This window comes from Homo sapiens, chromosome 2 (genome assembly GCF_000001405.40).
Source record: "Homo sapiens chromosome 2, GRCh38.p14 Primary Assembly".
Lineage (NCBI taxonomy): Eukaryota > Metazoa > Chordata > Mammalia > Primates > Hominidae > Homo > Homo sapiens.
The window spans coordinates 196,363,931-196,385,185 of NC_000002.12; the positions used below are offsets into that span (position 1 = coordinate 196,363,931).

General features: G+C 38.6%; 1 protein-coding gene across 10 annotated transcripts in view, besides 3 other annotated features; it reads right to left on the reverse strand.

The window, feature by feature from the left end:
* The window catches only part of HECW2 (HECT, C2 and WW domain containing E3 ubiquitin protein ligase 2), a 399,483-nt gene that overhangs the window by 169,859 nt on the left and 208,369 nt on the right, over positions 1 to 21,255 (reverse strand). The gene's annotated exons all lie outside the window — the stretch shown is intronic.
* Positions 13,511 to 13,750: an enhancer, noted in NCBI's record as "active region_16902". NCBI's record gives its function as "activates an Ori minimal core promoter by ATAC-STARR-seq in GM12878 lymphoblastoid cells {active_cell/tissue: GM12878}" and the evidence as "EXISTENCE:reporter gene assay evidence [ECO:0000049][PMID:35858748]".
* Positions 16,465 to 16,604: an enhancer, noted in NCBI's record as "active region_16903". NCBI's record gives its function as "activates an Ori minimal core promoter by ATAC-STARR-seq in GM12878 lymphoblastoid cells {active_cell/tissue: GM12878}" and the evidence as "EXISTENCE:reporter gene assay evidence [ECO:0000049][PMID:35858748]".
* Positions 20,985 to 21,104: an enhancer, noted in NCBI's record as "active region_16904". NCBI's record gives its function as "activates an Ori minimal core promoter by ATAC-STARR-seq in GM12878 lymphoblastoid cells {active_cell/tissue: GM12878}" and the evidence as "EXISTENCE:reporter gene assay evidence [ECO:0000049][PMID:35858748]".

Genomic DNA, 21,255 nt, shown 5'->3' on the forward strand with positions numbered 1-21,255 from the left:
GACTTCTTAACAATGTAAGCCTCTCTGTTTTTATCCCCAGGCAGGAATAGAGTATCATCTTGAGCTCTTGACTACTTTCTAGTTATGGACCAATAGACTCTGTTGGGTAGAAGAGAGACTCACCTACTCTGCTTATGGTGCAGCTCTTACTATCACTCACTCCCTGGTCTCTGAATCCCACCTGAGGCTCCTATAACTCTGGTCCTCCAAGCAATGATTCTTTGCCTTCCAAATACCATAACATTTGGTACATATACCACTTTACCTGCGCTCTAGGTTCTGGATTACCCACGTATTACCAACACCTACATGTGACTATCTATTTTCCTATATGGAGAAAACCTACTTCCCCCCAGCATAAGACACTATCATAATGGAATTAGATTTCCCAGCTAACCAAGAAAGAAACTAAAAAGTGTAGGGCCACAGCAGTTGATGAATGTTGGAGCTTCAATTTCAAGCCATCACACATGTACTCTTTCACTGGGATGGTAATTTTTTAAGCACAAGTAATTCAGCCAGTACTACTTTAATCATAGCAAATGATTATATTGAGAAGGTATATCCAGAGTATCATAATTCACATATGCTTTCCCTTCTCCAAACCACACCCCTTTGTGGGGAAAGTCCAGCAAAACCAAGAGCAACAAATAAAATGGGGAAGCACATTAATAACGACTTTTTATCAACAAAACACTCTTATGTTTTTACTTACTATGATATCATATGGTGCTAGGCACTAGGAGGTAGCTGAGAACAAAATAAACATAGCCCCTGCCCTCACAGAGCTTATATTTTAAAGAGAAAAACATTAAATAAATATAAAATGAATTCTTTAATTACAATTATGACACATGCTACAAAGGAAAAAGAAAAGATCCTCAGAGTATGGATGGGCCATCAACATGACGTGGTCAGGAGAAAAAGAGAAAGCTCACTCAAGGCATTGGCATATGAACCATGCTCTGAAGGGATGAGGCTGGTGAAGGAGAACAGCATCTAGAAATTTCAAGAATTGATGTAAAGGGATAGAAAGGGAAGCTTAAGAATGAAGGAATGGAAATTATCCCCCAATTATCTTTCCCATTTCCATCAGATCTCCCACTGCAAGCCCACCTGATTATTACAGTTTTCAACATTCAAAGCTATTGATCTAGCAAGGATGCCCATGGGTGGAAATGTGATTTATGGATGCTGAATGGATTAATTATACACAATTAAAGACATCACTTAACTAAAGTAGCTCATTCCCCAAAGCTCGCAGAATATTTATTGCAAGTAAAGCAGGGAAGAGCAAAGACACAGTCCTTAGATTACAACACAAATTGGCAATGGAAAAATTCAGCAGTGCCTCCTCCACCTATCTTTATGCTGGTACTAAAAACACAACTAGAATCAAGGTTAGCACATCAGGAAGGAACAACCCTTTTCCTGAAAATCCCATTATGAATTTCCTTTGTGTTTTGCATTTTGCATGCCTCTGAGGCTGACATCACTTATATACATTATTGAAGCCTCACTGGATGTGTCTGCCTATCTGCTGCAATTTTTATTGGAGACTTTTTCTTCGAACCCTGTGTTCCTAAAGCAGCCAGAGGAATGCTTGTCCCGTTGTCACTCTGTTTTCAGATTCCCAAAATGTTTCAATGGGAATACACATCAGTCTGTGTATAAATCAGAAAGCTTTTTGAAAATATATACAAAAGTGAGGTAGCTGCTAAAATATCAAGGGTAGGACCTCAAATCTAAACCCAAGTTGATACATGTGTACAAAATACGTGTATTTTTAAATTTGGCTTAGAAAGTAGGCCGTTAAACTCACTAAAAACGATCATGACTATTATTTGTTATAATAACTGAATACATGCTAGGCCCTATAAGTGTGTACACACACTCATTTAATCCTCAGAGTCACCAGAGTAACAATCCCTATGTCATAAATGAAGAAAACTAGGGGATAGATTGAATAACTTGTTCACAGAAGATCACATAGCCAGAAACTAGCTGGATTTCAAATCTTGGGTCTGTATAACATCAAAGCTTACCCATACTTTTGCCACTCTTCTACAGCTTCCCCCCACAATAACTACCTACCATTCACTAAATGTCAAGAATTACGCTCAGTAATTAAGAATCATCCACTGAAAGAATTCTCACAGTAATTCTGAGAAGTGTTCTTAGCCCCTAGATGAGGAAACTGAGCTCAGAGAATTCCAGGAACTTGATCAAGGGAGCACCACAGCAAGGCTGAAATGTGCAGAGGGAGATTTCCCAGAACCCTGCACAATTTCAGAAGAAATTTGTGTGGTACAATGAGTTTAGTAAAAGTAATTAAGGACTTGTTACTTTCTTAAAGTTTTTCAGTTTTATCTGGGAAACTATTAATATGCTTTGGAAGAGAAGAAAATTCCCAAAGGACTGATTTCCTCATCTTCGGTGGACAAGGAAATACCTCTAGGAATGTCCATTCAAGCCAAAATATCAGCATTGTGATCCATTACTTTCGTACACAAAAATAAATGACCCTCAGTTATCTATGTTTAACAGATCAATACCCACAAGCATATGTAATGTGCCAAAAACTCTGAAAGCTATACACAAATCAGAATAAATGTAGTTCTTTTCCCTTCACCTACTTCCACCACAGAATTAAAGACCCAGCTATAGTGGTATCTGCTTTATTTGATTGGCATATGTCTTGAAGCTCTTAGGATGTAGTATTTTTCCTCATGGGAGAATTTCATATTAACATCAAGAGTATTATATTTTTCCTTAATGGTGAACTTTGTGTTAACGTTGCATTAACTCCATATTAATGGAAACACAAATGTTTCCAAGTGAAATATTAAGGGGTTTAAATACAATCCCCCTTCTCTAATTCAATTTATAACTCTTTAACTGCACAGTTAATGGGTTCTTCAGCTATGTTATTTTTCATTCCAAATTAAATTATATTATTGTAAACCAGGGGGAATTTAAGAATAGGTTTTAAGCATGCAAAAATCTTCAATTAAGATGAAACTAGTAGAGAAAGATGTAAAATTATTTTATCTGTGTATATATATGTTGTTTCTGTCTGTAAAATGGGAACATTACCCTTTTCCAATAATGCTTTGCATATAGCAATGAACACAATAATATACCCTGGAGATGCTCTCCTGAAAGAACACATTCAGAGACTCTAACATATTCACATTAGTGAACAAAATTGGCATTTATACTTTACCACCATAGTGTATGATTCAGAATTAAACATATCGCACAGATTCCCACATGCTGAAAGAGTAGTTCTTAAATTTTACGTGTCTTAGAATCATCTGGGACTCATGTTTAAAATTCAGACTCCATAGAGCAAATTACAGAAATTGTGATTCAGTAGGTATAGGATGGGTCTTAGGCGTTTGCATTTTTTAATTTTTAATTGTTGTGGGTACATGGTAGGTGCCTATATTTACAGGGTACATGAGATACTTTGATACAGGCATACAATGCATAATAATCACATCAGGGTAAATGAAGTATTCATCACCTCAAGCATTTATCCTTTCTTTGTGTTAAAAATAATTCAATTATACTCTTAGTTACTTTTAAATGTACAATAAATTATTGTTGACTGTTGTCACCCTGTTGTGCTACCAAATGCTAGATCTTATTCATTCTATCTAACCATATTTTTTTATACATAAACCATCTGCACTTCCCCCGCAACCCACTACCCTTCCCAGCCTCTGGTAACCATCATTCTATCCTCTATCTTCATGAGTTCAATTGTTTTCATGTTTAGTTCCCACAAGTAAGTGACAACATGCGAAGTGTGTCTTTCTGTCCCTGGTTTATTTCACTTAACATAATGACCTCCAGTATCATCCATGTTGTTGCAAATGACAGGATCTCATTCTTTTTCATGGCCGAATAGTACTCCATTGTGTGTGTGTGTGTGTGTGTTTGTGTGTGTGTGTGTGTATGGTACATAGATACATATATATATGAGATACATAGATACATATATATATGAGATACATATATATGATACATATATGAGATACATATATATGATACATATATATATATCACATTTTCTTTTTCCATTCGTCTGCTGTTATAAACTTAGGTTGCTTTCAAATCTTGGCTATTGTGAACAGTGCTGCAGCAAACAGTGCAGATATCTCTTCGATATGCTGATTTCCTTTCTTTTACATATATACCTAGCAGTGTAATTGCTGGATCATATGTTAGTTCAATGTTTAGTTTTTAGGAACTTCCAAACTGTTTTCCATAGTGGTTGTACTAATTTACATTTCTACCAAGGTGTACAAGGGTTCCCTTTTCTTCATATCCTCACCAGCATTTTAAAAGCCATTTTAACTGGGGTAAGATGATATCTCATTGCAGTTTTGCTGTGCACTTCTCTGCTGCTAGATATATTGGAAGTCCATTGTACGTTGTTTCTTTTCTCCTACTGCTTTTAGCATCCTTTCTTTATCCTTGACCTTTGGGAGTTCCATTATTAAATGTCTTGAGGTAGTCTTGTTTTAGTTAAATCTACTTGCTGTTCTATAACCTTCTTGTATTTGAATATTGATATCTTTCTCTAGGTTTGGGAGGTTTTCTGTTATTATCTCTTTGAATAAACTTTCTACCACTATCTCTCTCTACCTCCTGATTAAGGCCAATAACTTAGATTTGCCCTTTTGAGGCTGTTTTCTAGATCTTGTAGGCATGCTTCATTCTTTTTTATTCTTTTTTGTCTCCTCTGACTGTGTGTTTTCAAATAGCCTGTCTTCAAGATAATTTTTTCTTCTGCTTGATCAATTCTGCTGCTAAGAGTCTCCGAGGCATTCTTCAATATGTCAGTTGCATTTCCAACTCCAGAGTTTCTGCTTGACTCTTTTTAGTTATTTCAAGCTCTTTGTTTAACTTATCTGATAGGATTCAAAATTCCTTCTCTTTGTTTACTTGAATTTCTTTTAGTTTCCTCAAAACAGTCACTTTGAATTCTCTGTCTGACTGACCACAAATACCTGCCTCTCCAGGATTGGTCACCAGTGTCTTATTTAGTTCCTTTGGTGAGGTCATGTTTTCCTGGGTGGTCTTGATGCTTGTGAATGTTCTTCAGGGTCTGGGCTTTGAAGAGTTAGGTATTTATTGCAGTCTTTACAGTCTGGGCTTGTTTGTGCCTGTCTTTCTTTGAAGGTATTCCAGATATTTAAGGGACTTTGGTGTTGTGATCTAAGTTTTTGATCACTGCAGCCACATCTTCATTAGGGGGCATCCCAAGCCTAGTAACAGCGTGAGTCTTGCAGACTCCTATAGGTACCACCTTGGTAGTCTTGGATAGGATCTAGAAGAATTCTGTGGATTACCTGGTAGAAACTCTTTTTCTCTTCCCTTACTCCTCCTAAACAAATGGAGTCTCTCTCTCTCTCTCTCTCTCTCTCTCTCTCTCTCTCTCACTGATGAGCTCTCTGAACCTAAGAGAGGAATGACACATGGACTCCTGTTGTCACCACCACTGGGACTGCACTGGGTCAGACCTGAAGCCAGCACAGCACTGGGTCTCACCCAAGGCACATGTTAACCACTGCCTGGCTACCACCTATGTTCACTCAAGGGCCTAGGGCTCTACAATCAGCACAGCACATAACAAAGCTAGCCAAGCTTGTGTCTTTCCCTTCAGGGCAGCAAAATCCCCTCAGTCCTGGGCAGGCCTAAAGATGCCATCAAGGAACCAGGGCCTAGAGTAGGAAACCTTAGGAATATACTTGATGTTCTATTCCACTGCAGCTGAGCTGGCACCCAAGCCACAAGACAAAGTCCTTCCACTCTGCCCTCATCTTTCCACAAACAGAGGCATTTCTCCCTATGGCCACTACTGCCCTAGGTCCATGGTGAGCACTGCCTGGCTACTACTGATATTCATTCAAGGCTTACAAAGCTCTTTAGTCAGCTTGTGGTGAATGCTGCCAGGCCTGGAACTCTCCCTTTAGAGCAGTGGGCTCCCCTCTGGCCCAGGGTATTTCCAGAAATGCCATCTAAAAGCCAAGACCTAGAATTGAGGACACCAGTGGGGAGTGTCCTCACCCATTGTGGACAAGCTGGTACCTAAGCAGTAAGACAAAGTCCCCTTACTCTTCCCTCTTCTTTTCTCAAGCAGAAGGAGTCCCTCCCCTTAGCTGCCACAGCTGGGAATCTGCTGGGTCATACCTGAAGCCAGCATGTCTCCAAGTCTCAGCAAGGCCCATGGTGAGTACTACCTGGATACTGCTGCTGATTATTTAGGGCCCAAGGGCTCTTTAGTCAGCAGGTGATGAATCCTGACAGGTCTGAGTCCTTCCCTTCAAGGAAGTGAGTTCCCTTCTGGCCCAGGCTGTGTCTAAAATGTCATCCAGGAGCTAGGGCCTGGAATGGAAGCCTCAAGACTCTGTCTGGTGTCGTATCCTACTGTGGCTGAGCTGGTATCCAAGTTGCAAGACAAAGTCCTCTTTATTCTTTCCTCTCTTCTCCTCAAGTGGAATGCAGGGGTCTCTTTTGGAACTGTGAGCTGTGCTGCCTGGGGGTGGGAGAGGGATGGCACAAGCACTCCCCTGGCTACCCCAGCTGGTGTCTCACTAGGTCACAAGCCCCCAAAGTCTACTGGCTCTAAGCCCAGCACAGCACCAGGACTTGCCCAGGAATTGCAGTCCTTGTGGTCTAGACTGCCTTTAATGTTTATTTACAACCCCAGAGCAATTTAACCCATGGTGGCGAGGCTTCCTGGGATTCAGGTTCTGACTGCTAGAATGAGTGATTCCCCTCTGGCTAGGGCTGATCTAAATGCTCCCTCTGTGGGTGCCAGCTAGGTTCTGCCCAGCGTTGCTTTCTGCTGTGACAATACAGCACAGCATTTCAATGCAAAGTCCCACAATCACTGCATTCTCCCTCCCCTAAGCGCACAGATTCTCTCTCTGTGCCACTTGCTGCTGCTGGAGGATAGGGGGGATGCAGTGTCAGCAATGAAAAACTCTCTCTCCTACCCTGTTCAATGCCTCTTTCAGTGGCATGAAATTAAAACCAGATACTGTGATTGCTCATCTGATTTTTGGTTCTTATGAAGGTGTTTTTTTGTGTGTGGAGAGTCGTTCAATTTGGTGTTACTGTAAGAGGACAATCAGTGGAGGCTTCTATTCCACCATCTTGCTCTGCCCCCTAAAGTCTGCATTTTTAAACAGTTACCTCAGCTAATTCTGATACAGGTACTCTTTGAACCACATTTCTAACAGACAATGGTGTAGAGTCTTAAAATCCAATAGTCCATATATTAATGTACACGTATAGGTACATGTCATTTTTGATTTTGCATATTCATTTTATTAAACTCAAAAACAGACATACATCTGTACCTGTAATGTGTCCCCTACCTTAACAGCTCACAATTATTATGTTCAATCTACTTTTAAATAAAGAATAAAAAAGCATAGTAAAAGGACAAGCAAGTACAGGAATAAAGAAGACAGAAAGGGGCACTAACATGAGAACAAAGTTTTAGATTCTATTTAAGCTGAGAACAGTGCTCCACAAAATGTGGGCCATGGGTAAGTGCTGGTCCATGAATTGGTTGTTTATAATCTGAGATAGGTCTAGAAACTGACTGGAAGCTCTTAGAAACTTTTACAGAAATTTGTCAGAGTAATTTTATGTCTATTCAATCTAATAATAAAATTTTGGACTCATATTTTATAGATCTTGTATTTTATTCCATTTCTTTTTCTACTAGCTTATTTTCACTCTATTTTACAAAAGATCAATGTCCACAGGTAGTCTGCGAAGCACTGGTGAACTCTACAGAGAAGAACCGGCCTTCTTGGTTAGTCCAGTGAGCCTCTCCTAACCCAGGATTTTAATACAAAAGTGAATATCCTCAACTTCTCATAATTACTTACTGTGAATCTGTCAGCAATGAACGATCTCTGTTTTCTGTGAATCTACCAACTTCTTTTTAGCTTGTATCCCCTTTTAGAATAACATTTTAGTAACATTTCTTAAAAGTTTACTTTCAACAGTGTAAAGTAGTACTTTTTCACTTTTATTTTTCTTTTAATTTTCAAAGAGACCCTTGAGTCTTAACATTTGAGGATTCAGTGACGAATGCTATCATTGTATTAATATCTGTACCCTATCTGTGCATTTTTGCTAACATGAAACTATGGTCTCTCATTCTGCTATTCTCAAAAAGCAGGTCCTTTAACTGCTTTGCTCATCTTAATGCCAGGTCCCTATCAACTATCTAATGATTTTCTTGATATGTGGCAATAACAGTAATAAGAAGCACAAAGTATCAGTAAATTATTCTAGTCATAAATACATGGGACACGGATCTCATTTTGTGGTTTCCCTGCCTCCTAGTAAACTTTGAATCATAATTTTCTCCCTTATTGAAGACCTGCACTGTGAACAGTATTAAAGTTAAATGTTAGATATATTCTTTACGGTATCTGCTTCCTGGTTGATAATATCCTTTGGTGGTCCCCTACAGTTTCTACTTTTGGTATATAAGTGTTGCCAAGAATAACATTTTCCCTTTCCAAGTTAAACATGGTGTTTATAAAAGGTGTAGGATGGAGAACCTGGAAGTATGAATCTGTGCATACAATGGGTAAAGTCACAATAATAGCAACCACTTTCCCAGTTGCCAAGATCTCTGGCCAGGAAGAATAAAAATGAGGATTTTTTCCTCCCTACCTAATTGTGTCCCCCTTTGAGAAGAGTTAGGAAGTCAACTATTAAGTGTCCAAATTTGCTTTCTGATGCTTATAAGTTGCACACTAAATTTGTTCATTTTATTTGCTTAACATTTTTTTTAGAAACCCAATTTTTAAGACATTTTCTCATGTAATCGGTTAACTATATGACTAAGAACTCTCTGACAGCTTGTAGGCTGTCCAGAACAGCTTTGGTTCCGCGGCCAAAAATGGACACCTTTTTAGCTGTGTGAGGTTGGCCAAGTGATTTAACTCCCTAAACTTTAGTTTTCACATCTGTACAATTGGGATAACGAGGCACAGCCAGTACAATTTTGAGAGGATTGTGAAGCTACATAAAGTCAGCAGCACACGACCTGGTGCAGAGTCCACGCTTGCTGCAGTAAAAGCTCAGATATGAGTGTTGTTATTCTTAACAAGGAAGACTCTAAATCACTGAAATAAAATCTAGAGAAGTTCTTGGAATTTTCTCACTCTGACAAGTACACAAAATAGATAAAGGATAGTCCACCAGGAAGGCAGCTGGCTAGATGAACTGGCCTCTGCAGTCTCCTTGATCTAGGTTATCTAACATGCCCAAACCATGTTCAAATTCAGTACTTTGTTTGTAATTCAAGTAACATCTTTGGAGAAAAAGAATTGCCTGTTTTCAATTAACCAAAGGAATTATAATTATGTTAATTTCTTTTAGTGTACCACATACATTTGTTTCAGCACACTTTGGGAAAGGTTAAGTGGAGCAAATATAACTAAAATCACAGGACATCTTTGTAAAAGCAGATGGCATTCATCCAAAATGTCCTTCCTGGAACAAACTGTAACAACTTGATTCACTCCCACCCTTCCCTACCAAGCTATATTTAAAGGTCCGTAAGCATTTCCATCATAAACTGCTGTCATCAGGATTTGTAATTTTACCTTCTAACCTATTTCAGGGTTTATATACAAACATCTCAAACTTAAAAAAAGCTATTGTTTTTAAAATTTAACAACTTCCTTCAGTAAAGGATAAGAGTACAAGGGGAAACAAACAAAAAAGTAATGATTATACATGAAAAAAATTATCTGCCATGGCTTGATAAGCAAAATAAGGTGCATGCTCAAGAAATATGTGCCACCATTGGGAAGCCGAGGCGGGCAGATCACGAGGTCAGGAGATCGAGACCATCCCGGCTAAAACGGTGAAACCCCGTCTCTACTAAAAATACAAAAAATTAGCCGGGCGTAGTGGCGGGCGCCTGTAGTCCCAGCTACTTGGGAGGCTGAGGCAGGAGAATGGCGTGAACCCGGGAGGCGGAGCTTGCAGTGAGCCGAGATCCCGCCACTGCACTCCAGCCTGGGCGACAGAGAGAGACTCCGTCTCAAAAAAAATAAAATAAAATAAATAAATAAATAAATATGTGCCACCAAAGATTATATAAATTCAACGGTGAATAATATGTCATGATTCATAATAATTAGAAGCTAAATAACTGTCCAGAAATTAATGAAAAGGTAAATTGTGGTACAGTCATATTATAGGGTATTATGTAGCCATCCCATGATATTCTCAAATAATTTTTAATAACATGGAAAACGTTCATGAGATAATAAGTGGAAAAACATACTGCAAAATTATATGTACAATAGGAGCTTAACTGGATTATAAAATAAATATGTATACAATCTATATTTAAAGTTGTAAAAGAAATATGCCAAAATGTTCATAGTAGTTATAGCTTGGCTGGAAAACCTAAGTCCTTCATATTTGTCCATAATTTCCAAGTGGTGTACAATGAACTTGCATTACCTTACTAATCAGAAAAGAAACGCTTCATTGTGGCTTAGTGTCACAGACAAATACAGAAACAGTAATACAGGAAAAAAATGAAGGCTGGCATCTCTCTCTTATCTTTCTACATCCTCTGCACTGCCCTTGCAAATCTATCTTTAATCATCAACTATTTTGACATTTGAAAATCTTATTTGTACTGTGGATTTATGAAATATTCAGAAAGAAGTTTTCATTTATCAAGCAGTTTCCCCAAAAAGTGACCTTGTAGCTATCCACAAAGTATTATCAACAACTCATATCTCAAGATTCTAAAAAATACAAGTATCATCCACCATAAGGTCACCTCTAGGGGACAAAGCATAGACGTGGGATACATCCAGTAAGGGAAGAGTAAAAAAAAAAAAAAAGAAGCAAAGACGGCACATGAAAACTAGTTTTGGCCGGGCGCAGTGGCTCATGCCTGTAATGCCAGCACTTTGGGAGGTCGAGGTGGGCAGATCACAAGGTCAGGAGTTCAAGACCAGCTTGGCCAACATGGTGAAACCCCGTCTCTACTAAAAAATACAAAAATTAGCCAGTCGTGGTGGTGCGCACCTGTAATCCCAGCCACTCGGGAGGCTGAGGCAGAATTGCTGGAACCCAGGAGGCAGAGGTAGCAGTGAGCTGAGATCATGCCACTGCACTCTAGCCTGGGCAACAGAGTAAGACTCAGTCTCAAAAAAAAAAAAGAAAGAAAAAAAAGAAAAAGAAAACTAGTTTCAATCTGTTGAGCTGTTGTATTCAAAACTTCAAGTATTCAGCAGATATCAACTTAAAGAGAACTGTCCCAAATGGAATCATGACATCAATTTAAATCAAACATAAATATTAAAAGAATTCGGAGTCCCAGTCTATCTTAGAGCCTCTCTAACTCTGACTGGAAACAGACACAGACAGACACACACAGAAATCACACTGCAATCAATCATTGTGAGCATTCATGATCACAGATATTTCCAGTTTCTCTATAAACTTTAATAGATTCTACTTTTACTTTTTTCATTGAAATAATAGTTTTTGCCAGTTTGGGAAGTATGTTTTTAATTTCACAGCTTGTTACCACTGGGTTTTGAAAGAAAAGGAAGTGGTAACCTTTTTCAAAACATCAGGACGGGTAAAAGACTGGCAAGTGTATACTTGAGAATCAAAATTGATTATTAGTGGGAACACAACAGTGGAAAAAGATGTGGATATTGGTATCATGCAATGGCTAGGAAAAAGGAATCAAACATGAGAGGTGGGAAAACGTCTACAGAGAAACATCATCTATTTCAATTTTTCTAATGGAGATTGTCCAGAATAAAAGTGAAATAGCCTCTACTTATTACTGTATTGCAGTTATGCAGATATTATGAATGACACTTGTTCTATATCACCAATGCCATACATTTTTCCAAGGCTGATGAACACGTTCTTGAAGCTTATATGTCTACTATTCAAAGTACTTTCGCATGTACCTTCTTATGCCAGTTAGGAAAATCTGGTCCATTTGGATACACTGTCAGGTCCAATTCCCTCTATCAGTCTACGTTCCTTCAGGCTCAGAACCACGTTTTATTAATCTCCATTTTCCTAACAATTACCTAATGGTGGGAAGGGCACAATACATATTTTTGATTAAAAGAATAATAACACATTCTGAATCTTAGCTTTTATTACCCTCAAACTTTGCCCCAAACCAGAAGTGTGAAGTACTTCATAACTTATTGGTCTCCAAATTTGTATATTTAAGAGCAACTATTTAAACAACAATTTGAAGAGATACTAAGAATATAATAGACAAAAAGCCACATCAAAAATAATCTCATCATACTGAGAAGTAAAAAACAAGAATCCAACAACAAAACATAAATTAAAATAGATTTTCGGCTGGGCACAGTGGCTCATGCCTGTAATCCCAGCACTTTGGGAGGCCGAGGCAGATGAATCACAACGTCAGGAGTTTGAGACCAGCCTGGCCAACATGACGAAACCCCATCTCTACTAAAAATACAAAAATTAGCTGGGTGCAGTGGTGCGCACCTGTAATCCCAGCTACTCAGGAGGCTGAGGCAGGTAGCAATTGCTTGAACCAGGGAGGCGGCCATTGCAGTGAGCCAACATCACGTCACACCACTGCACTCCAGCCTGGGCAACAGAGCAAGACTCTGTCATAAAAAAAAAAAAAAGGGCCGGGCATGGTGGCTCACGCCTGTAGTCCCAGCACTTTGGGAGGCTGAAGCAGGCGGATCAACCTGAGGTCAGGAGTTCGAGACCAGCCTGACCAATACGATGAAACCCCGTCTCTACTAAAAATACAAAAATTAGCCAGGTGTGGTGGCATGCACCTGTAATCCCAGCTACTCAAGAGGCTGAGATAGGAGAATCTCGAACCCGGGAGGTGGAGGTTGCAGTGAGCCAAGATCACACCACTGCACTCCAGCCTAGGCAACAAGAGCAAAACTCCATCTCAAAAAAAAAATCAATACATAAAAATAAATGAATGAATTAATTAAGATCGTTTTTCATTCCTTGGGGGAAAAAACATAGAGTTACAAACTCTATAAAAATTATTGTTTGATCATACTCAAATTTCATAAACATGCCAAGGAAATTTTAATAACATTAATTCCTAAATCAAAGAGAAACCAGGTTGGCCAAAGCTATCCGCTAGTTAGTGCCACGGAAAAGTAGCTTAAACTTTCAGTGATAAAATAATGAGTAAATTCTGAGAATCCCGAAGAGAGAGTCTCAAACACAACCTAAGAGGCAAATTATATTATGGTCATTTTGATTTTTTTGTCAGTTTTAAAGTTATCTACTTGCAACAATTGTATTCTTGATATAAGGTACTAAAAATTGTCCTGATGCAGTGTATTAGTCTGTTCTCACGCTGCTCATAAAGACATACCCGAAACTGGGTAATTAGTAAAGGAAAGAGGTTTAACTGACTCACAGTTCCACATAGCTAGGGAGGCCCCACAATCATGGTGGAAGAGCAAGGGACGTCTTACATGGTAGCAGGCAAGAGAGGGCTTGTGCAGGGGAACTCCCCTTTATAAAACCATCAGATCTCATGAGACTTATTCACTATCATGAGAACAGCATGGGAAAGACCCACCTCCACGATTCACTTACCTCCCACTGGGTTCCTCCCACAATACGTGGGAACTGTGGGAGCCACAGTTCAAGATGAGATTTGGGTGGGAACATAGCCAAACCATATCATGCAGATTTTCCTGAAATATCCTCAGCATAGTTAATGCATGAATGAAGCAAAGTTTCCATTTTACAAATTTCTCATGCAATAACAATTGCAACATCTGAAAGCACTTAAAATAAGTTTTTCTCACTGTTTCTTACCAGCAGATTAAGTCAATACTGCTAAGCCAAATTAGAAAATGTGAACCAAACAAACAAGCAAAATACAAAAGAGAAAAAAAGGAAAGAAAATCAAGAAGTATATATTTTCTTGGCACAAGTTTACTCAGATGCAGTCTCACAAAGCATTTCTGCAATTATTTTAAAAACAAGTTCCACTGTTAAATCTGTGTTCAGATTAGTTTTGCACGTATTACTCTAAGAGTAGCAAAATCACAACTGTCTCCTCTTTGGCCTTTCCTTGGGTTGGGAGTCAATGGGACTGCCATAAGTAGAGCAGAGTGGTTAAAAACCCAAGCTCAGAAGTCAGATTCCTAAGTTTAAATTCAGGCCCTACCATGTCATCTTTTTGTCATCTTGGCTAAATCACTTTAATTCCCATTGCCTAGGGCTGAAATAGCATATATACTGCACCACCACCCCCATACACACACAATTTCATACAATGTGCTTTTATTTATGAAAAGAAACACGGAAATGATAAAGAAGAAGCCACCACAAATGGTTACCTACAGAGAGAATAAGTGTTCAGAGTGGAGATACCAGGGATAAAATATAAAACTACTCTTAAAACACCTTCTTGTATAGCTTTCCCCATTGGCCCAATTAGAATATTTTCAAAACCCTGCAATTCATTAGAACACATGAAAATAAAATGTTTAAACACGAGTTCATAGCAATATTAAAATATATGTAGCCCCTAAATAAAATAAAAGTAAAACTCATTAGTCACAATTGACAATAACTAGGGCACCAATGCCCACATATTCTGAAAACTGTCATTGAAAATTAAAGAATTAAGCATCATTTTGCTTTTCCAGAATGAACAGTATTTCAAAGGTACTAACAAGCCATGAGGAGAAGTGCTTTTTACATAAGAATTCCAGGAAATAAGTACAGAAGAAATAAGATAATTACAAAATTCATAATTTTTCAATGCATAAGAAAATAATATATTTGAAAACATTAGACAAAAAAATCAATGAGAAACATTCTAACGAAGACATTACGCTGCCACAACTTGAACCCACTAATCAATCTTAGCATCACGAAGAATGGGGCAGTCAGACTCTTGTGTAACTTTTGATGGAATGCAACATGAAGTACACAGCACCACCAAAGAAGCATCCTTGGGGAAAAACATTAACTTGATGATATTCAAGACCCTTTTGGTTAACCTCCAATTTATAAGAAATAAGGGAGTCAGTGGAACAAGTTAAAAGACAATACCAGTGAGCAAAAAAAAAAACAAATCCTGAATGTGAGACATTCTCAAGGACAACAGATACAGTTGTCACTGGCACTGTGAAAAATGAAAGGAAAAAATGATAGTGAAAAGAGTCAGATAAAACTAATGCACTCTAAATAAGTCTATTTTTATTTACAGTTCAAAAACAGGCAAAACTAACCTACAATCAAGCCTTAAGGAGGCTGTGATTGGGAGTATGAGAAGGACTTTTGAGGTGCTGAGAATACTCTATGTCCTGATCTGGGTGGCAGTTATACAGGTCTACACATACGTAAATGTTCATTACACAGTACACTTAAGATTATGGCAACTTGGCTGGGCGTGGTGGCTCATGCCTGTAATCCCAGCACTTTGGGAGGTCGAGGCGGGTGGATCACGAGGTCAGGAGATCGAAACCATCCTGGCTAACATGGTGAAACCCCGTCTCTACTAAAAATACAAAAAATTAGCCAGGCGTGGTGGCGGGCGCCTGTAGTCCCAGCTACTCAGGAGGCTGAGGCAGGAGGATGGCATGAACCCGGGAGGCAGAGCTTGCAGTGAGCTGAGATCACACCACTGCACTCCAGCCTGGGCGACAGAGCAATACTCCGTCTCAAAAAAAAAAAAAAAAAAACAAAAAGATTATGGCACCTTAAGGACTTTCCTAAATATGTGCAATTCCTCAATAAAACAATAAAAGAGACATAATTAGCCTATGGTGTTTGAAGTCAGGACAATGGTTACCTTTAAGGAAGAGTGTTACTGAGAAGATGCAAGAGCCATAAATTTATGATGATTTTACTTCTCTGCATGTATGCTATTCTCCAGCAAAAAAAAAAAAAAAAGGATGAGGGGAGAAGGTACTGCTCTACATTAAAGGTGACATAATAAATAAATTGTTAACTGGATTTTGCTTAAATCAATTATTTTTGAGAAACAGTGAAATTTTAATATTAGATAATTCTTGTGTATAATATTAAGCATAATAAAGACATTTTGCTTATTTAAGAAAATATCCCTATTAGAAGTTCATAGGGGTGAAGCAGTTGTCCTGTGTGGCTATTTAAGTCCCTGCTCAGTTCACTCAGTGGTTGGATAACAAATGCACAAAGATTTGCTTAAATGCACTCAATCAGTAAGTCCCCCAGCCTTTGCTGATGGGCTGTGTGTGTTTGATGGAACACTCCTTCAGTACTCTAAGCAGTTTATAGCTCTGCCTTAACTTTTACTTCCTGCTTGCACAGAGCCTGAAGGTCAGGCACAGAAGAAAATAAGGTCTCTCCTGGGTATGCACACAGCCCTTTGTATGCATTTGGCTTTCCCAATTCCCAGGAATATATTTGAGCTTTTCAAAGCCTGCTATGCACATCTCTTTCTCTATATTGTCCTTTTCCGTTTTTTTCTGTTAGTCCCTTATGTGCCCCAAGTGGTATTGCCACCTCAGGTAAGTGCAGTGTTAAACAACTGTCATTGGTTGTTTTTGAAAAGTGTTCTGGTGATAGGGTTGTTTGCACCAAAGAAGCTATGAGCCAGGTTAACGAAAGTCCTGCAAATGGGGCTTTTCCAGAGAGCTGCCAGACATGTCAGGTAGTGACAATTCTCTAACAGGGATGAGGTTTTTGGGGAAGCTCCAAACCCATTCTGCTGCCGTTAGTGGCTCGTAAGGTGTGTTTGTTTTCATGACTACCATGGTTGCAGAGCTTCTGGTTTTCAGTTATTGCAGAGCTGGGGAGACAGGAATGATAAAAGGCAAGTCATAATAAAATGTTACACAGCCAAAGCCTACTGTGCTGAGTTCAACCTGTTTCTTGAATAAATGCTCCTCATGTACTTGAAAGCTTTTGGCTGATTTCCAGAGTTCTAAAAAAGTTGACTTTTGCAATTTTCTCCAGTGTTTTCATTGCTTTTTTGGGGAGCAGAATGTGGTGGTGGGGGTTCTCACTCTACCATTCCCGAAGTGCTTCTCCTCACAATCATCCCTTGAAGATTAGATTGGGGTAAGAAAACCCCTGACCTAAGCCCCGTAGGAAAACCCTACCCGGCTTCTCAGCTGCCATTTACAATAAGCACAGTTGCTTAAAGCATGATGCTCTTTAGAAAGTCTAAAGTCCCTTAAGACACTGTTCTGTGACCATGAACCTCACCAATCACCCCACATGGTTCTCACGTCACTGAGTCTAAGGATCAGTTCAGCACAAAGTCATCCCTCCTACTAGAAAAATGATTAAATTCAGCATGTCCTACTAACCATGTGGACTATGATAGTAGCTTCTATGAAGGTTTTATCTTCATTTCATAATGCTTTGGTGCCTTAGCTGTTAATAAGTTGTAAATCAGTATAGAAAAATAAAGTAAAATCAATGTCCATATAAAATTCTACCCAAAATCAACCAACAGTGAAATTTTCAAGCAGGTCACTGGTTTCTCATAGCGTCAGGATTATAAAGAAGCAGGTTCCAGTCTATTAATAGCCAGAAAATGTTCCTTATATTATAATAAATAAAAGTAGACGAAAAGTTCTGGGAAGTCAGGAAGCAGACATTTGCCTCCTACCAGGAGGGCAAGAGTTTCCCAGAAATCAGACCCAGCTGAGGTTATAAGGGTCATTAGTAAGGCAACATCCCCATGATAAGGTTCTCTGTGGACCATGACTAGAAGTCTAGTGTGATATAAAGAAGACAGCTTTCCTAAACTGCCAGATTTCCTGCAGAAATCTACTGCAGGACACAGCTGACATTAGTCTTTAACTAGTTTAAACTGAAATAAAATTAAACGTAATATTAAGCAAGACAAAACACTAATGTGATTTAAATATATACATATATGTATGATTATTCATTACAGCACTATTTGTTTGTAATAGAGAAAACTGGAGACAATTTAAATGTCCACTACTTAACCCATCAAATATACCAGTTAATAAATTATGTTACATCTCAACAATAAAAGTGTGCACATATATAAGAATGGGACTCTTTCTATGTTCTGACCTGGAAAAATCTGAACAATATATAAGTGAAACAAAGTGTAGAATAGTGCATATATTTTGCTATTTTTTATATTAAAAGAGGTGAAAATTTCTACATAGTTGTATTTGCTTATTGATATACATGTATGTATATGTGTGTGTGTATATACATATAGTATGTGTGTGTGTGTGTATATATATATATATATACATGTGTGGAATATATATCCATCCATATATGTATAAAAACTTTGAAAGAATAAACCTGAAACTAATGAGCATTGTTACCTGTGAGAAAAAAAGGGAAAAATTTGGAAATGCATGAGAGGTTGAAAGGAAACCTGTCAAACTACTTCTTTGCATTTAGAAAGTTTTTTGGGCCAAATGACTATATTACTTAATCGAAAAAAGGCCTCTGGTTATTCACATAGGGCAAAAAAAAAACATGTAATAACATTATCTTACAGTTTTTTAAAAAATTAGAAACTAGAGATGTATTCAGATTTTGTAAATCTCTAGTTGATGAAGCCCTAAGTAAACCCCAGAAAGAATTTCTGAATAGGTATATAACATGAAAAAGGATAGAATGAGAGTCTGTACAATATAATAGCGGATTGTATTCTCTGTCTTGTAGCAATACGTGCCCTACTTTGTCTTCATTATTTATAAATAACCTGGCTTTAAAAAGCATCTACAGCAACTGCATTTCCAACGGAAATGGCACTTGCTTTACATGAATGTTCTAAACCAGGGTAGCTCCATGATAACCCTGACCTTTAGAAATGTAACCAGCCTCAATACTAGTAAAAATGATATTGCAAATGGTAGCAGGACCACAAGTAGCTTTCATTTTATTCTATTTTCTGTATTTTAAATGTTTTTCACTAAGCTTAACTTTCATGATCAGGGACAAAACTATATTTTTCATAAGACAGGTGGCTCTGGTGGCAGTATGGGGGATGAATTGCAGTAAGAGGAAATTGGTGGCAGAAGCATCAGTCAGAAGAGTGGTTCAAGGTAGGAGAAAGATAACAAAGATAGGAATAAAAGTTGAAGCAGTGGAGCCAGATATAGATAAGTTGAAGAGGTTAATTGACCAGGCCACCTGGATGGAAGTGATGAAGAAAAATGCAAGCATAAGTCTCAAATGTCTGATTTGCGTAACTGCTGCCAGCAACATTAAAGAGGCGTATGAAGGAGGATGAAGAATGTGGTCAAATTCTGTTTGGGCTACAATGAATTTGAGGGGTCTGAGGCCAATCCAGGTGGAGATGCCAAGTCCACAGCTAGAAATACAATAATGGCACTCAGAAAAAGAATGAAGATTGGGGATGTAAGTGTATAGGTATTGGCTGAATCCATGGAAACAGATGAGATTGCAGGGTGCCAAGAGCAAAATTAGGAGAAAAGAGCCTAGGAGAGAAAAGTCTGTGGAACACCAACTAAGGTGGAAGAAGAGAGAGCAAAGGACAAAACAGAAATAACTTCAGGCAGGTAACTAGAAAAGAAGGGTCTAGGAAAGATTAAAGAGTAGACCTTTTCAAGAAGGGAACAGTGACATCAACAGCATCAAATACTGTCAAGATTTAAGAGGACAAAGCCCCACTTCACCCAGTTGGCAATGACAAGGGCTCCAATGTCCTCAGTGGGGCAGTGACAGTCAAGGTTTGGAGTTGAAAGCTAGGCTGAGGTGGGCTGAGGAATAAAATGGAAGGTGAACATTTCAACTAAGAAAACTAAATCATTCAGTAGTGGCCCTTCACACATCACTCATTTAAAATCCCTAAGACGTGAACATGGAAATCATATTCTCATTTATTTCACGGCAAAAGGTTAAACAGTTCAGTATAGTGGTTAAATATATTCCCTGAGTTAAAATCCTGTTTCTATCACTTGTGTGACTGTGTCTCATATTACTCATCTGTAAAATGGCAATGGGAATTGTACAACCTCAACAGGTTACTGAGGGTTAGATGAGGTGAGCAACTAGCTTAGTGCCTGCTCAGTCATTCAGATGCTATTATATTTCTTCACTCTTCCATCTGTGTAAAACCAAAAAGAAATTAAATCTTGACCTCCCTGATTGAAGGTTGGATTGTTTAACAAGCTCATTCAGCACTGTTCATTAACCTTACTCATTCACTTGGCAATAAACATTTATTAAGCCCTTTCCATGGGCTTTAATTTACTGGAACCTGGGGACAAAAAAAATGATTAAGGCTTGATCCCAGCTCTCACAGGCTACATAAAAAATTCTTTTAGGCTGAGCACGGTGGCTCGTACCTGTAATTCCAACACTTTGGGAGGCCGAGGCAGGAGGATCGCTTGAGCCCAGGAGTTTGAGACCAGCCTGCATAATATAGAAAGACCCCATCTCTACAAAAAAATTTAAAAATTAACCAAGCATGGTGGCATCCGCCTGCAGTCCCAGATACTCATGAGGCTGAAGTGGGAGGATCACTTGAGCCCGGGAGGCAGATGCTGCAGTGAGCCGAGACAGCACTACTATACTCCAGCCTGGGCAACAGAGCAAGACCCTGTCTCCAAAAAAAAATTGTTTTAATCATAAGGTGGCAAATAAAATAGCAGAAGTCTGAAGAGTTATTCATAAGTATTTACACAATGAAATGATGAACAAAACACTTATTGCCCCTCCCTAGTATTTTTTACATTCATTCATTATGACATCCTGAATTAAGGTTACAAAAAACAGAAACACTAGGCTGCCAATTGATTAACTTCTTTAGCATGCTTTATAAAATGTTAATCACTTCTCCTAAATACTTTTATTTAATCTATCCTTCTCTGCAATTCTCAGTAACTTCATGAAACTAACAATAAATCTCCTCAGCCACCTGTTAGATGGTTTCTTTTTTTGTTTCTTTCACTTTTTTTTTTAGTCAGGGTCCTGTTCTTTCGCTCAGGCTGGAGGGCAGTGGCACAATCACAGCTCACTGCAGCCTCCAATTCCTGGGCTCAAGCAATCCTCCTGCCTCAGCTTTCCAAATATCTGAGACTGTAGGCACCAGTTACCATGTCCAGCTAATTTTTATTTGTAGAGACAGGGTCTTGCTATGTTGCCCAGGTTGGTCTTGAACTCCTGGGCTCAAGCAATCGTCCTGCCTTAGCCTCCCAAAGTGCTGGGATT